A 13,936-nucleotide genomic window follows, 5' to 3' on the forward strand; every position below is an offset into this window, starting at 1 on the left:
TAAAAACAAAGTGAGCATTTTTTATTCTGCATTTTGGAGCCTCCTCGTTCCCACACCCTGTGGCAGGTTTTGCCCAGGTCCTCAGTCACTGCCCTAGCCTCTGACAACCCCAGCTCTACCCGACATCCCCCAATGCAGTGCAGTCAGCGGGCCACCTGCAGGAGCTCTTCCGTGGCCAGGCCCACCAGGGCATGGAAGCTCAGGTGCAGGTATTTTCTCCAGAAGCGTCGGTCCTGCCCGTACACCTGGGCCGGGTAGCAGGGGCTTCCTACGGTGGAGCCAAGACACAGCCGTGAGCCCCAGCCCCAGCCTGCAGCGGGTGGAGCCTCCCAGGCCTCACCTGCCCCAGCCCCCAGCCCCAGCCTGCAGCGGGTGGGGCCTCCCAGGCCTCACCGATGCCGTGGAAGATGCGGGCCACAGCCCTGCTGGAGAACTTCTCCTCTGGCCTCAGGGACAGGAACTGGCGGATGTCGCAGCGGACCTGGTCCTCCCAATCCTGGAGCTGTGTGGACAGGCACATCAGGCTTCCTCTGAGCTCCCGTGGCACTGCATCCACAGAGCAAGCCCCATGCAGCCCAGGGAACCTGCAACCCCGATGAGCTGCCTGGCCTTACTGCACTCACTCTGGCCTGCCCTGGCTCGGGGCCCTGTGCGTCCTCCATGCCTCCCGGCTCCTGCCCTTCCTCTTCCTCAAAGTAGCGGCCGAGCAGGTCCTTGAGCCTGGTGCTGCGCTCCTCATCCTGCTGCTCCAGGCAGGGCCCGCAGCTGGGGAAGGCTACGCTGTGGGGAGGAGCCTGTCAGAGCTGATCACTGCGGGAGGGTGGATGGTCCCAGGCCCCGCCCGCCTCCTCCCAACCTGTGAAAGGCCTGGAAGGTTCTGCGCAGACGGGCCAGGGCCTGGCGCTCCCGGGCCTGCACACGGCCATAGAGGAAGTCACATATCTGGTCCTTCTCCTCAGCGGTCAAGTCCCCCGGGCTGCGAAGGTGGAAGGCCAGCTCACTGAACTCCACAAGCACCCCTGTCCCACGCCGCACACCTGCCGGAAAGCATGTCAGATGCAGGCAGGCAGCGTCCAGGGCGGTGTGGGGTGGGGAGAGGCGCACCTGTCCTGGGCTCGTGGTCCCACTGCAGCTGGCAGAGAGCCCGCCGCACAGAGGCCAGCTCCCAGCCCATGGAGTCCACCAGCTTGACCATGTCAAACTCCACGGAGCTGCTGCCTTGCCCTGGGTCCTCAGGCAGCTGCTGGGCCAAGCACACAGCCAAAGGGGGACACCTGTGCCCAGGGAAAAAGGGACATGTGGCCAACAGCCCTGATTCTCCAACCTCGTCTCCAACTGGGCAGGGCGTGCTTACCTGTGGGCCAGGGCCTGGAGCTGGGCAGGGCCCCCAGGGCAGTTCAGACGGCAATGGGTATAGGTGGTCGCCAGCAGCTCCAGCCAGTGGTGTGGGTGCAGCTCCAGGTAGCACAGCAAAGTCTCGATGGCTGGGGGCAGAGCAGGGCTCAGCGGACGCGGGGACAGCCCCTCCACACCCCTGTGGCTTACCCCAGGTTCCTCACCCTCCTCCGGCATGTCCAAAGCCTGTACGGTAAGCTGTATTGGGAGTGCCCGCTCATGGCCCATGCAGACCCTTCTGGGTCCTGGGGCTGCTTGGTGGCTAAGCTGCTCAGCCTCTTGAGGGGGGTACTTGGGCACAGGCCTCTCCCCACCCACGGCCCCTTCCTGCTCCGAGGGCGGCCTGGTGCAGGTGCAGGTGCAGGCTGGGAACACGCGCTGTACCAGCCTCTTCACAGCCAGGAAGTCCGTGCTGTCGGCGTGCACATGTCTGCGCAGCTCTCGCAGGTCTTCGCCCTGCAGGGCAACTTTCATGAGGGTGGGGTGGACCACTGGGGGCTCGAGCACTGGCAGTGTGGGGGGGGGGGGTGCCAACCTGGGGCTGCAGGAAGAGGTGGCAGTGGGCAGGCTGCCCGTCACGCCCGGCCCGGCCCACGGCCTGCACGTAGCTCTCGAAGCTTGGGGGCAGCCCCAGATGCAGCACAGCCCGCACATCTGGCCGGTCCAGCCCCATCCCAAAGGCCACCGTGGCCACCACCACCCGCAACTGGCCCTGCATGAAGGCTCGCTGTACCCGCCGCCGTTCCCGGCTGCACATGCCCGCGTGGTAGGCCTCGGCTGTGGTTTTGGGGGCACGACCTTTGGGGAAGACAGGCAGATGGTCAGTGGGATGGGACCATGTGTGCCCAAGGTGGGTCCACGGGGACACCAGCTCTGTCCATGCCGCACCTCCAGACCCTGGGACCCAGGCTGCGTGCAGGCAGGTTCGGAGGAGCGCAGCGATCCGCTCTGTGTCCTCGCGCCGGTTGCAGTAAATGATAATGGAATCGAGGTTTTGAAAACGTTTGCCTTGCAGCAGCGTCAACAGTGCCTGATGAGGAGCGGTTGGCGTGGGCAGTGGGGAGTGAGGAGGGGTCGGCGTGTGCAGTGGGGAGTGAGGAGGGGTCGGCGTGGGGAGTGAGGAGGGGTCGGCGTGGGCGGTGGGGAGTGAGAAGGGGTCGGCGTGGGCGGTGGGGAGTGAGGAGGGGTCGGCGTGGGCAGTCAGCAGCCAGGGCCCTGCAGGGTCCCCAGAGCACACACACCCACCTGGTCTGTGTCCCTGTCCATGGACACGGAAAGGTGCAGGTTGGTGGGAACTGGGGCTGGCCCGTGGAGGTCAGGCTCTTCAGCCACAGCCAGGTGCTGTGCCACGTCACTGGCAGTGCGGCGTGTGGCTGTGGCTGTGAGGCCCAGGAAGCAGTGCACGCCCATGCGCTCCCGAAGCACCTGCACCAGAGGCGGCAGTGGTGTGAGGCCGCCCAGCCCATCCCGGCCCTGGCCGCCCACCCCAGTTCACATATGGCTCACCTTGCAGACGCGCAGGTAGCAGGGCCGGAAGTTGTGGGACCACTGGGAGAGGCAGTGGGCCTCATCAATGCAGGCAAAAGCAACTGGAGGCAGCTGTGCGGCTGGAGGGAGGCCTCCCGCCCCCACCAGTGCCTCAGGTGTCAGCATCAGCACGTGTACCTGGGCTGCCCGAATCTGAAGGCAGCAAGATCAGAGGCACAGCCCAGGTGCCCGCCCGCTGCCTCCCTCACCCCTAGGCCCATGAGGCCCCCACCTTCTGCAGGACAGATTCCCGTTGCTTCCTGGTCATGCCCGAGTGTATGCAGGCCGCCTTGAGACACGGTGGCAGGCCAGACACCTGCAAATGCAGGAGCGACAGCCGTCATACGCCAGCCCAGCCCTGGCCCTTCCCCAAGTCATCCCAGAGCTGCTGCCATGTCCATCCTAGTCCCTCAGGGGAGAGGAGAACCAGGTCCTGGGTCCTAGGGCTAAGGGTTTAGAGCCACCTGTGGGCCTTGGCCCAGGAGCCCCAGAGCAGACAGACTGAAGTAGGGATGGCTCCTTTCCCAGCACATTTCCCGTAGGGGTGGCTGTGGTGCCTGTGGAGCTGGGCTGCCTTTGACCTGCTGCCAAGACTGGGACTGAGGCCACAGACACCTTGAAGCTCCCAGGGGAGGGGGTGGTTAGGGGACAAGCAGCAGTTGCCCTTGGGAGTCACAAGTGCTGGTTCTTGGCTGTGTACGTGTGCCCAGGGCCCTGTGTGCACACCTGGTCATCCATGAGTGACAGCAGGGGAGAGACGACCAACGTGAGGCAGGGGCTGCGCCGGCTGTAGAGCAGCGCTGGGAGCTGGTAGCACAGGGACTTGCCGGCACCTGTAGGCAGCACCAGCAGCGTGGAGATGCCTGGATGGGGCGGGAGTCAGCAGCAGGGTTCTGCAGCCTGGCCTCAGCCCAGCCTCAGCCCTGGCAGCCACGCTCACCAGACAGGATCCGCATGACTGCACGCTCCTGCCCAGGGCGAAAGGCTTGGTGCCCCAGCTGCTCCAGGGCCTGGAACACCTCAGCCGGCGTCTCTGCAGACACAGATGTTGATCACCATGACTTGAGTCACCCCAACCCCTCAGTGAAGGCTCTGGGCCAGAAGCTGACTGCTCACCTGCCAACTGCCCTGAGGGCCCCAGGGAGTAGAGTGGCAGCACGGTGGGGTCCAGGCTGGGCACCTCAGGTACAGGTTGTGGTGAAGGAACCAGTGGCTCAGGCCCAACAGCATCTGTGTCTTCCTCACTTGCTGGGGCAGGCAGGAGAGGGTAGAATGGGAGCTCCAGGTCGGGCAAGACAACCACTGGCCACAACCTCTCCTTCCCCCAAAGGGGGTTGGCAGCAGGCAGTGCCCTTCCTCTGGGCTACTTTTTCCAAAGCAGAAAAGAGTGACAGCCATCGTCGTCCCTGCCACCCTCCTTCAGGGGAGCTAGGGTAGGGCCTGGACCAGGGGTACCTGGAAGGCCTGTTGCTTGGAACATAAGTGTCCCCCAAAAGAGCACTGCGCCCTCTCCACAGTGTTGGCCGGACCCACCCTCCAGGGCAGATGTCTCACCTGGCCGGGGACACTGGGCTGCCCAGTGATCGAACTGCTCGTTCAGGAAACAAGACTCCTTGGTTGTGACTGTGGCACCACCACCCCCAAAACACTCCCCTTTCTTCCGCCACTTCTGCTTCCATGCCTGGGGGGTGCCCACATAGGAGGGTCACTGGGCGGGAAATACGGGAGGGCTGAGGGGAGGGAAAGGGAATGCCTGTCCTGGCCCGTCGCTGTCTTACCTGCTTGCGGAGGAGCCTGCTACGGAGTGCCCGGCCCCGCACGTAGTGTTTCTGCTTCATGTTGAGCCGTACGTAATTGCCCCTGTCATGGCGGGCCAGCCGAGGGAAGATGTGCAGGGGGGCTGTGCCCTCAGCCTTCCCAGCCCTAGCTTGACTGGAGGGGCTGAGTCCGTGGTACCTGGGGTTCGATGGGCTGCTGCAGGGCTGAGGTGGCTGTGCCTGTACAGGTTCCCCTGGAGGGTCTTCCTCAACTGCTACAGCCCCAGCCCCCTCCGATGGGGGTCCAGCTTGGCTGCTCTCCTGCTGGACCTGTGCGGGGCTCTCCCAGGGCTCCTCGTTCCATCTCCGCTTCTCGCCTCCACTGCTGCTGGGCTGGGGGCTCCCCACACGGATGCTGACTTCTTGGAAGGCTGAAGCCTCTGGGCCCTGGGAGCCAGCACCAGGACCAAGGACAGCCGACTCACCAGGGATCAGAAGTTGTGATTCCTCTGAGCCTAGATCAGGCCTGCAGGCTTTGGGGGCCCCCAGAAAATCTGGGACCTCACTGTGACATCGCTGTAACCAGCCAGGATCTAGGGAGCCCAGCCGCTGGCTCAGGGATGCCTGCAGATGCTGGAGCCGGCCTGGCCTTGGCTGGGGCTCAGGGAGCTGTGGAGGCTCATCACTGACTTTTTCTGCAAAGGAGGGGACAGGCCCTGTACCTGGGGGCTTTGGGGTGGATGCCTTAGATGAGGCTCTTCCTAGAGGCCACGGTCTGCGGCCCAGGGCTGGTCCGGCCTGGGAGGGGAACAACAGAACAGCAGGAGGAACTCAGGCCCCTGAGCTACTGTAGACTCTAAAACCTACCTGAGTCCCCACGCTCAATTGTAGAGCAGGCTAATTAGCACAAGGCTGGACTAGAAAGGGAGTCAAGGGCGAAGGCCCCGAGAAGCTCCCTGAAGACTCGTGCCCTGGTTGGCACAGGGGCCCGTGCCTGTCTGTGTGGAAAAAATGACAAGAGGGCGACCCGGACCGGAAGCAGCTGTGGACCTAGCGTGGACTCACTGCCTGCCCACTCCTCACCTGCAGGGTGCCTTTCAGATTGGCCTTGAGCCGCTGCCCGTAGTCCGGCACCGAGCCCTGGCGGCTCCGCCCTGGCGTAGACTGTGGACTCTTGGTCGCAGCCCGATTCAGATGGGGCCCCCAGCAGCGGGGCTCTGGCGCCTGCAGGAGACAACAGGGGCACAGGCCAGAAAAGGCTGTTGTGGCGGCAGAAGCGCTCCCAGCCACCCCTCCCGCACCTGGAGCGAGGCCCGGCCCTTCTTCACTTTGCCCAGTCCCCCTCCCAAGTTCTGTGCCCCACGGCGGCCTGGCCGCGACTCCGTGGCTCCCGCCACTCCGCCAAACAGGGAAGTGGGAGGAGGCTGGGGCGGCGGGGCCTGGGTACCTCTTCGGCCGCCGCGGGGAGCGACTCGGAGCTGCGGAGCCCGCCGCCGGCCTGGCCCGTGGTACGCTTCAGAGTGCGGTATTCCCGGTAGAGCGCTGCGTGGGCGAGCGGGAGGCGGGGTCAGGGTGGGGCCTGGGCCCCTGCCGACCCGGTGTCTTCTCGCCCCCGCCGCCCCGCCGCGCGCTCACCGCGGGTCTCCTCCGGCGCCGCCTCCACGTCGTCCTGTAAAGGGAACGCGTCAGCCGCGGGCCGCGCCCTCAGCCCCTCGGCCCCTGGGCAGCCCGCACCTGGCTCGGTCGCCGCCCGCGCTGCCGTCGGAACGCGCGCTCCCACGCCTGCAGCCGCTCCCGCACGTCCCGCAGCCGCTCCATGGCGCGCGCGCCCGCCCGGCCTCCGCGCTTGCGATCGTCCAGCGAATCTCCCGCGCAGCCGTCGCGGGGGCCGACAGCCAATGCGGATGCGCGGCGGGCCGGGGGCGGGGCCACCGCCCCTGGGCAGCCAGTCCGTCGGGCCTCGGACAAGCAGCCAATGGGAGGCGTCAACGTCATCGCGGGGCGCCGCGGCGCCGGGCGGGGAGCGGCGGACGGTCTAGGCGGGGCTGGAGGCGGTGGCTGCGGTTGCGGGACCGGTGAGCGCGGGCGGCCGGGGGGGTGTCTGAGCGGGGCGGCGCACGCCCCTGGCCCTGCCTGGCCTCAAGGGGCGGGGCACCGGTCGCTCGGGGCGGCCTGGCCGAGGGAGGCAGTGGCTGCATTTGGGAGCCCGGGGCCGAGGCCGGGAGCCTGGGAGGTGCCACCGCGGGCCGGGAAGGACTGGGAGTCCCCGGGCCGGTCGGAGCGGCGTCAGGCCCTGGTGGGAGACGCATCCGACCTGGAGGAGCAGGCCCCGCTCGGGAGGCGAAAGAGCGGAGGGTCCAGCGCCTCCCGCGGCTCGAGGCCCGGAGGAGCCGGGCGGGGGCGTCTTCGCGAAACGCAGGCGACCGAGGACCGTCGCGTTCCCTGCGGCCGGCGGGAGGGGAGGGGGCGTCGCACGGAGGTGCCTGCCTCCCTTGGTGGGCAGGCCGTCTGCTTTGGTGTTCTCCCGTGACAAGTGCTCGGTTGGTCTGTCCTGTCAGAGCGAGTATGATCGTTGAGATCTGTCCACCGGCAGAACTAGGCCGAGGGTTGGTGTCTGGGACTTTTCAGGAACCGGTGCCTTAAGGACTTACTTGTATGTGGAAAAGTCGACAAAAAGAAGGGCCTTGGGGCCAGAGTGTCTTCCCCGGCCCCCTTCCCTGGCTTGTCACTCAGGCTGTGACCTTGGGCCAGGCCGAGGCCTTCATTTTCTAATCTGTCACAGGGAGATGGCTGCGATTTAGTTTTGAGGATGCTACAGGCAGCAGCAGGGCTGGCACCCTGTGTCACAGGTACCTTGTGGCCTTGGGAGTGTTTGTGCATCTCTGCAGCTTGGGTGCTGCTGAGGCAGCTTTCTTTGCCTTGTCTGAGCAGTCTGTAGCTTTGCACCTTCTGAATCCCACATACTTAAGACTTGGTCTTTCCACAGTGGCTCTCCAGGGAAGAGGGAGAGGTTTAGGCCAGTGGTAAGGGCCAACAAAGGTGAGGGTTGCTTTCTTTCGGGGTCTCCGTGCTTGGTGACGCTCTGGAGAATAGTAGCTTTTGCGGGGGCTTGTATTTTATAGGCTACATCATCTGGACTCGGTGTTCCCTGGGTCTCGGTCTTTTCAACCTGCCTTGTTGCTTATGAAGCTGCTTCTGTGCTTCCAGCTCTTTGGTGTTTTGTGGAGTCCAAGTGTAGCCCTGGAGAGCATCTGTGAGGAGAGGGGAGGGAAAGGTGATTTGGCTGCTTGACTCCTTAGAGTGTCCCGTCAATACTAATGCTGATGAAGGTTGGTGGGGAGAGTCCTGGGCTTTATTCAGGTTTCGAAGAAGGTTTTGTGAAGCAGCTTTGTAATTTGAGAGGCCTGAAGTACCCATGGGGGGCCCTGCAAGGCAACAGGCATCTGTCAAAAGCATACCCAAGCAAGCGAGTTGTTGACGATGCCACACTGCTTGACGCTTAGTTTCTCTAAAGAGATCCTGTGCATCTGGAGGGCTGGGGCTGAGTTGTGAGTTTGTCTGCCAGTTCACTGCACCCAGCCCAGCGCTAGGCATCTAATAGGTGCTTCTCTGTGCCATGGCCACTGCTAACTGCTGACTTTGTTTCAGGCACTATGCTGGGCCTTCCTACCACTTGTGTGTGGCTTGGTAGTGGCCTAGGGTCTCTCCTCCCTGCTGAAGTCCCTCTCCTGCAGGTGGCCGTCTGCCCGGCCCAGCACCATGCACACGCTTGTGTTCTTGAGCACACGGCAGGTGCTGCAGTGCCAGCCAGCTGCCTGCCAGGCCCTGCCCTTGCTGCCACGCGAACTCTTCCCCCTGCTGTTCAAGGTGGCCTTCATGGACAAGAAGACAGTGGTACTGCGCGAGTTGGTACACACGTGGCCCTTCCCGCTGCTCAGTTTCCAGCAGCTGCTACAGGAGTGTGCCCACTGCAGCCGTGCCCTCCTGCAGGAGCGGCCTAGCACTGAGAGCATGCAGGCTGTTATCCTGGGGCTGACTGCCCGGCTCCACACCTCAGAGCCTGGGGCCAGCACACAGCCCCTCTGCAGGTATGGACTTATCTGGAGGGTCGTCAGGCCAGGGGTGTGTAAGTGGGTCCCCTGAGGAGGCTTGGGTCATAAAGTTAGCAAGAGCTCATGCAGGAGCAGGCGCGTTGCTCCTGTCCCAAGGTGGCTGGGAGGGGGTATGGGCGCTGCCCCTCCACCCCTTCCTCACACCATTCCTACTCCCAGGAAGCATGCGCTGCGGGTGCTGGACATGACGGGCCTCTTGGATGATGGTGTGGAACAGGATCCTGGCACCATGAGCATGTGGGACTGTACTGCTGCCGTAGCTCGCACATGCATTGCCCAGCAGCAGGGTGGGGCCGCAGAGCCTGGGCCAGCCCCCATCCCCGTGGAGGTGCGCGTGGACCTGCGGGTGAACCGGGCCTCCTATGCGTTCCTGCGGGAGGCACTCCGAAGCAGCGTGGGCAGCCCGCTGCGGCTCTGCTGCCGGGACCTGCGAGCTGAGGACCTGCCCATGCGCAACACTGTGGCCCTGCTGCAGCTTCTGGATGCAGGCTGCCTGCGCCGCGTGGACCTGCGCTTCAACAATCTGGGCCTGCGCGGCCTGTCTGTGATCATCCCACACGTGGCCCGCTTCCAGCACCTGGCCAGCCTGCGGCTCCACTATGTGCATGGGGATTCAAGGCAGCCCTCCGTGGATGGCGAGGACAACTTCCGCTACTTCCTTGCCCAGATGGGCCGCTTCACCTGTCTGCGTGAGCTCAGCATGGGCTCCTCTCTCCTTTCAGGGAGGCTGGACCAGCTGCTCAGGTGAGCGGGCCCCACCACTGCCCTGCCCCTCCCTTCTGTAGGGACCCTCCCTGGCTCTGCCTGTCTGTGACCCCTGTGTCCCCTGTAGCACCCTGCAGAGCCCCCTGGAGAGCCTGGAGTTGGCCTTCTGTGCTCTGCTGCCTGAGGACCTACGCTTCCTGGCACGGAGCCCACATGCTGCCCACCTCAAGAAGTTGGACCTGAGTGGTAACGACCTGTCTGGCAGCCAGCTGGCACCCTTCCAGGGTCTGTTGCAGGCATCAGCAGCCACACTGTTGCATCTGGAGCTGACTGAGTGTCAGCTCGCAGACACCCAGCTGTTGGCCACACTACCCATCCTGACTCAGTGCGCCAGTCTCCGGTACCTTGGCCTCTATGGCAACCCACTGTCCATGGCGGGCCTCAAGGAGCTGCTGCGGGACTCAGTGGCACAGGCTGAGCTGCGTACTGTGGTGCACCCCTTCCCTGTGGACTGCTATGAGGGCTTGCCCTGGCCGCCGCCTGCCTCTGTCCTGCTGGAGGCCTCCATCAATGAGGAGAAGTTTGCCCGCGTAGAAGCTGAGTTGCACCAGCTGCTTCTAGCCTCAGGCCGTGCCCATGTGCTCTGGACCACGGACATCTACGGGCGACTGGCTGCGGACTACTTCAGCCTATGATGAAGTAGCTCTGGGTGAGACACAGGCCGCCCTGCAGTCTCTTTAGGTAGGCAGGGCCTTTGCTGGGACCCCTGGTGGAGGCCTTCACAAAAGCACTGGTTACTGGTTTCCTGCTGGGTCTACCTTGCTTCTGGGCACACCTCAAGCCTCCCCTGCTTTCTGCAGTGCCCCACGCGGTTTTCCCTGCACTTGCTCCATAATTGGCTGATCATCTGTGGGCCCCGGGGCTGGATGTCAGGCCTCCATTGCCCTGCTCAGTTTGGCTGCATTTGGCTGCCGTCTGGGGTCCTGGTCCTTTGTGCAAATGCTTTGGGATTCCAGTTGTGAGCTGAGAGAGATGATGGCCTCTCTGGGCCTTTCCTCTCCCTTTACTGAGAGCTCAGTGCTTCTGGGGTTGAAGTTGGACAGAGGCCTGCTTCAGGGAAGCTGGGAGTCCCCAGGCACTCACGCCTCTTACGTGTTCCCTACCCTGCCACCCAGCCACCCCACTGGGCTGGGCTCGGGCTGGAGGGGGTCATCAAGGTACACATGTGCCTGGAAGTTGAATTTGTGGCTGTTTTTTTTTCTGTCCACGTTGGTCACCCTTATCCTTATCTCTGCTGTCACCCCCAACATGGCCACCCGGCAACAACTGCCATCCAGCCTGTCGCCCCGCCCTTCGCGGGGCAGCCCCGTCGGCACTGCCGGCCAGTCCTTGCTCTTCCCACCTTTCGGAGGCCCAAGATCCTACTGTGGCCGGCCAGGGCCAGCGAGGGACCCCCCCCATGCAGAGCTGGAGGTTGGGGTGATGTCTTTTCGGAAGAGCTTCAAGGGAGGTGTTGGGGCCTCCCCGGCCACCTTCCATTGCTACCCCAGGATTCCCGAGTGCAACGTTCCCGGCTCGCGCCCCACACACGGCTCAGCGCACACTGCGCGGCTTCCACCTTTACTGACGGAGCATGCGCGAGGCCGCACCGGCCAATCTCCGGCGCCCACGTCATCCGCGCGCCCGCGGCCCTAGCAGTGGATCTCGTAGGCGACCGGCGGGGGCACGCGGAGTCCCGGCCCCGCCCCCTGTTCCGGGCCGCAGTCAGCGGGCGCCTCCGCCGGACCCTCGGCGAAGAGCGGCTTGGAGCGGTTGATGACGAACATCTCGTGGCCGCGCTCGTCGCGGAGCTCCTCTAGCTGTGCGAACGTACAGGGGCCGTCCAAGTAGTCGTTGACGAACAGCGCTCCCTCCCCCGGAGGCCCCCGCGCCTTTTTTCGCCTGCGGCGCCGGCGACAGATCATGGCGACCAGGAGCAGCGCCGTGAGCGCCAGCAGCGCGATGGCCGCCGCAATGGCCGTCTGTGTGGCCACGCCCAGGGCGCGGAAGGCCATGCTGCCCGCCTCGGGCCGGGGCTCGCTGCCGGCGGGGCGGGCGGCCGGAGGCGGCGGTTGCGCGGGCTGCTGCGGCTGCTGCCGGGACGCGTTGACCAGGAGCCGGAAGGGCACGCGGGCAGCGCCGCCGGCGTTGGAGGCCTCGCACTCGTACTTACCGGCGTGCGCCAGCGTGATGTTGCTGAGGAAGAGCATGCCGCTGCCCGTGTCGGATGCCGAGTGTCCGCCCAGGCCCAGCAACCCGCCTTCTAGCTGGGCCTGGGCTCGCGGCCGGCCCTCGCGAGGCTGGGGCACCTTTCTCCAGGTCACCAATGGCTGCGGGTAGCCGGAGGCTTGGCAGGCAACCCGCAGGTCCTCACCCAGGTTGGCTGTGAGCTCCAGCGGCTGCACGTGGACAGAGGGCGGAATGCAGATGAGGCTGCTGTGGGATACGTCCAGGAGACTCTGGAGCGCCAGGCGCGGGGGCTCTGCACACATGATCTTCCTGTCCCTGGAGGTGAGCAGCCGCTGGCCGCCCTCCTTGATCCAGGCACCCAGCCAGTGCAGGGCGCAGTCACAGCGCCATGGGTTCTCTGTGGGAGAGCAGCGTTAGGCAGGTGGCTTGAGGGTGCTGCTAAAACAGCCTGTGCAGTTGGGGTTTTGCAGGCCAGGACAGAGGCCTCTTTCCCACCTCCCACAGCGTTTTCACACGGAGTCCAAGGCCCTGCCACCCCTTCCTTGACCCCAAGCTCCTTGGGGCGGCAGGCCCTTCACCCTCGCCCCCCTCCCCTTTAGCTCTGTGATGCCTGCCTGTTACAGATCACTTCTCCGTCGGTCTCTGAGAAAGCACCTGCTCCTTAAGTCTTCCTGCAACAAGTGCCACTGTTTTTAGGAACCTGGGCGTCCACATAGACATCTCACCAGCACTGAAACCTCACAAGTCCTCTCAGCCTTGCCTTTGGATGCCCTCTCTTGGGAATGTCCCCAGTCCTGGTCAGCTGTCTCTCTCCTTTGCAATTTTGTCTGCCTCCCCTCAGCCTAAAAGTGTGCAGAACCCTCAATTCTGTTAAGTCACCCTGTGGAGTTCCTGTCTTCTGTTTTCCCCAGGCAGGGTGCCTGAGCTGTATTCCCCAGCACACCCACTCCCGCAGCCCTCCAGTGTGGCTGCAGGCGGTGGTGCAGCCTTCCAGACTGCTGCCCAGTTGCCTGATGTCAGAGCCCCTCCACACATGAGCCTGCTCCCTACTGCCAACACCGTGGCCCAGACAGAGACGCTTTCCGAGGAAGAGGTACCTGTGAGGCGCAGGACTTGCAGACTGGCCAGGGGCTGCAGGGCCTCTCGGCTGATGGTGCCCAGCTGGTTCCTGCTGAGGTCCAGCAGTGCTAGGGAGGACAGCCCCGCTAGAGCCTGGTCCTCCAGCAGCTCAATGCTGTTTTCTTGCAGGTGAAGCTCCTGCAGTCGCTGAAGTAAGGACAGCAGATCGTGAGGAAAAAGGGCGCCGAGGTTGGGGGCATGTCTCTCTTCTTACCAAGCTAGACTGGGTTGCCTTTTCTAACTATTCCAGCCCTACAGGGCGAGGGGCCATAATGGAGTATCCCGCCCCTTTAGACCCCAGGCGCTCACCGGCAGGTGCAAGAAGGTGAAATCCAGCAGCCGCGCCAGCTGGTTGCCCGCCAGGTAGAGCACGCGCAGCTGGGCCAGGCCTACGAAGGCGCCGCTGCGCAAGCCGCGCAGCCGGTTGCTAGTGAGCGCCAGCTCCAGCAGGCGCGGCTGCGCGCGGAAGGCGCCGGCCTCCAGGGCGCGCAGGCTGTTGTTGTGCAGGTAGAGCCGGCGCAGAGCGGCGAGTGGCGCCAGGGCTCCCGGCTCTAGGCGGGCGATGTTGTTGTCCTGCAGGAACAGTGTCTGCAGGCCGGGGAAAGAGGAGGCGCTTACCCCGTTGCGGGGGTCTTCCTCTCCCTGGGGGCACCCCGTCCTCCCGCAGCTCCACACGGTGCCCACCTGCGTCCCTGGCGGGATTCCCAGCGGGACGACGCGCAACCGCAGGGCGCCACACTCCACCGTGGCGCTGTAGCAGCGGCAGGCTGCTGGGCAGCCGGCGGCGCGGAGCGGCAGTAGTAGCAGCAGCAGCGGCAGCAGTGCGGGGGCCCTCAGGGCCATCTCCCGAGGCCCGGTTCCTCACCGGCCCTTCCGCGGTTCAGCCGCAGACGCGTGCCCTCCTGAAACACAGGTTGGCAGGCCAGTCTCGGCAGTCGAGAGCCAGCCAATAGATGGAATGGAGGCCTGCACCTGCGTCTAACTTTTGACGCTATAAATAGGTTCAAGAAACTAATAAAACGTTCTGGTTTTCTCCTTTGACAAAAACATTTTCTTAAAGCTCTGGGGCATCAGGTTCAAATTTAGAATTCC

The 13,936-nt window shown here is 64.3% G+C and overlaps 3 protein-coding genes across 57 annotated transcripts in view, besides 9 other annotated features; 1 reads left to right on the top strand and 2 right to left on the bottom strand.

Moving 5' to 3' along the window:
• RECQL4 (RecQ like helicase 4) lies at positions 1-6,546 on the bottom strand. Of its 36 annotated transcripts, none has more exons than NM_001413017.1 (22): positions 6,414-6,546; positions 6,315-6,348; positions 6,127-6,221; positions 5,763-5,903; positions 4,879-5,477; positions 4,701-4,782; positions 4,477-4,603; positions 4,039-4,170; positions 3,863-3,955; positions 3,649-3,785; positions 3,155-3,238; positions 2,902-3,075; positions 2,641-2,820; positions 2,284-2,425; positions 2,129-2,193; positions 1,560-1,851; positions 1,355-1,484; positions 1,105-1,274; positions 857-1,037; positions 624-780; positions 394-502; positions 1-268 (listed from the first exon to the last, which is right to left on the bottom strand). In NM_001413017.1, exons 1-22 carry the CDS (start codon positions 6,495-6,497, stop codon positions 144-146), a joined length of 3,333 nt encoding a protein of 1,110 aa, NP_001399946.1. In that variant the 5' UTR covers positions 6,498-6,546; the 3' UTR covers positions 1-143. The 36 variants fall into 36 exon arrangements, 33 of the variants coding, with proteins under 33 accessions (NP_001399946.1, NP_001399949.1, NP_001399958.1 ...); NM_001413020.1 differs by having other exon boundaries at positions 1,931-2,193; NR_182091.1 differs by having other exon boundaries at positions 857-976; positions 1,931-2,193; positions 4,701-5,477.
• Positions 6,151-6,900: a silencer, noted in NCBI's record as "silent region_19699". NCBI's record gives its function as "represses an Ori minimal core promoter by ATAC-STARR-seq in GM12878 lymphoblastoid cells {active_cell/tissue: GM12878}" and the evidence as "EXISTENCE:reporter gene assay evidence [ECO:0000049][PMID:35858748]".
• LRRC14 (leucine rich repeat containing 14) lies at positions 6,705-13,891 on the top strand. Of its 20 annotated transcripts, XR_007060776.1 has the most exons (8): positions 6,705-6,754; positions 7,462-7,528; positions 8,414-8,767; positions 8,951-9,535; positions 9,624-12,046; positions 12,349-12,522; positions 12,637-12,818; positions 12,974-13,891. XR_007060776.1 is itself a non-coding variant. In NM_001272036.2 (5 exons), exons 3-5 carry the CDS (start codon positions 8,439-8,441, stop codon positions 10,189-10,191), a joined length of 1,482 nt encoding a protein of 493 aa, NP_001258965.1. In that variant the 5' UTR covers positions 6,705-6,754; positions 7,462-7,528; positions 8,328-8,438; the 3' UTR covers positions 10,192-13,885. The 20 variants fall into 20 exon arrangements, 7 of the variants coding, with proteins under 7 accessions (NP_001258965.1, XP_005272416.1, XP_016869494.1 ...); XR_007060769.1 differs by having other exon boundaries at positions 12,349-12,818; XR_007060774.1 differs by lacking the exon at positions 7,462-7,528 and having other exon boundaries at positions 8,328-8,767.
• Positions 6,991-7,160: a silencer, noted in NCBI's record as "silent region_19700". NCBI's record gives its function as "represses an Ori minimal core promoter by ATAC-STARR-seq in GM12878 lymphoblastoid cells {active_cell/tissue: GM12878}" and the evidence as "EXISTENCE:reporter gene assay evidence [ECO:0000049][PMID:35858748]".
• Positions 9,384-10,046: an enhancer, noted in NCBI's record as "H3K4me1 hESC enhancer chr8:145746055-145746717 (GRCh37/hg19 assembly coordinates)". NCBI's record gives its function as "activates a minimal SCP1, AML or CMV promoter by ChIP-STARR-seq in naive H9 embryonic stem cells {active_cell/tissue: H9 hESC(naive)}" and the evidence as "EXISTENCE:reporter gene assay evidence [ECO:0000049][PMID:30033119]".
• Positions 11,047-11,336: a silencer, noted in NCBI's record as "silent region_19701". NCBI's record gives its function as "represses an Ori minimal core promoter by ATAC-STARR-seq in GM12878 lymphoblastoid cells {active_cell/tissue: GM12878}" and the evidence as "EXISTENCE:reporter gene assay evidence [ECO:0000049][PMID:35858748]".
• Positions 11,051-11,239: a silencer, noted in NCBI's record as "fragment chr8:145747722-145747910 (GRCh37/hg19 assembly coordinates)". NCBI's record gives its function as "represses an EF-1alpha promoter that drives an FKBP-Casp9 reporter gene in an ReSE screen in phorbol 12-myristate 13-acetate-treated (for megakaryocytic differentiation) K562 erythroleukemia cells {active_cell/tissue: K562(+PMA)}" and the evidence as "EXISTENCE:reporter gene assay evidence [ECO:0000049][PMID:32094911]".
• LRRC24 (leucine rich repeat containing 24) overlaps positions 11,101-13,936 on the bottom strand; it is a 4,646-nt gene continuing 1,810 nt past the window's right edge. The window contains exons 2-5 of the mRNA NM_001024678.4: positions 13,529-13,746; positions 13,154-13,432; positions 12,823-12,991; positions 11,101-12,122 (exon numbers count right to left, since the gene is read on the bottom strand). Of these exons, the coding sequence (NP_001019849.2) occupies positions 11,188-12,122; positions 12,823-12,991; positions 13,154-13,432; positions 13,529-13,687 (1,542 nt within the window). The 5' untranslated portion in view covers positions 13,688-13,746 and the 3' untranslated portion in view covers positions 11,101-11,187. The remainder of the gene's footprint in view (positions 12,123-12,822; positions 12,992-13,153; positions 13,433-13,528; positions 13,747-13,936) is intronic.
• Positions 11,547-11,756: a silencer, noted in NCBI's record as "silent region_19702". NCBI's record gives its function as "represses an Ori minimal core promoter by ATAC-STARR-seq in GM12878 lymphoblastoid cells {active_cell/tissue: GM12878}" and the evidence as "EXISTENCE:reporter gene assay evidence [ECO:0000049][PMID:35858748]".
• Positions 12,701-13,363: an enhancer, noted in NCBI's record as "H3K27ac-H3K4me1 hESC enhancer chr8:145749372-145750034 (GRCh37/hg19 assembly coordinates)". NCBI's record gives its function as "activates a minimal SCP1, AML or CMV promoter by ChIP-STARR-seq in primed H9 embryonic stem cells {active_cell/tissue: H9 hESC(primed)}" and the evidence as "EXISTENCE:reporter gene assay evidence [ECO:0000049][PMID:30033119]".
• Positions 13,364-13,936: part of an enhancer, noted in NCBI's record as "H3K27ac-H3K4me1 hESC enhancer chr8:145750035-145750697 (GRCh37/hg19 assembly coordinates)", that runs on past the window's edge. NCBI's record gives its function as "activates a minimal SCP1, AML or CMV promoter by ChIP-STARR-seq in naive H9 embryonic stem cells {active_cell/tissue: H9 hESC(naive)}" and the evidence as "EXISTENCE:reporter gene assay evidence [ECO:0000049][PMID:30033119]".
• Positions 13,365-13,514: a silencer, noted in NCBI's record as "silent region_19703". NCBI's record gives its function as "represses an Ori minimal core promoter by ATAC-STARR-seq in GM12878 lymphoblastoid cells {active_cell/tissue: GM12878}" and the evidence as "EXISTENCE:reporter gene assay evidence [ECO:0000049][PMID:35858748]".

The sequence above is a fragment of the Homo sapiens genome, chromosome 8 (genome assembly GCF_000001405.40).
Source record: "Homo sapiens chromosome 8, GRCh38.p14 Primary Assembly".
NCBI lineage: Eukaryota > Metazoa > Chordata > Mammalia > Primates > Hominidae > Homo > Homo sapiens.

Bases quoted from the DNA above. Each gene is read 5' to 3' on its own strand.
- RECQL4 (NM_001413019.1), bottom strand. From the start codon at position 6,497: ATGGAGCGGCTGCGGGACGTGCGGGAGCGGCTGCAGGCGTGGGAGCGC. The intron at 5,904-6,126 runs GTACCCAGGCCC...TGTCTCCTGCAG, and splicing joins TCCCCGCGGCGGCCGAAGAG to GCGCCAGAGCCCCGCTGCTG. The intron at 3,239-3,648 runs GTGTGCACACAG...CTGCATTTGCAG, and splicing joins TGTCACTCATGGATGACCAG to GTGTCTGGCCTGCCACCGTG.
- LRRC14 (XM_024447336.2), top strand. From the start codon at position 8,439: ATGCACACGCTTGTGTTCTTGAGCACACGGCAGGTGCTGCAGTGCCAG. The intron at 8,768-8,950 runs GTATGGACTTAT...TCCTACTCCCAG, and splicing joins AGCACACAGCCCCTCTGCAG to GAAGCATGCGCTGCGGGTGC. The intron at 9,536-9,623 runs GTGAGCGGGCCC...TGTCCCCTGTAG, and splicing joins AGGCTGGACCAGCTGCTCAG to CACCCTGCAGAGCCCCCTGG.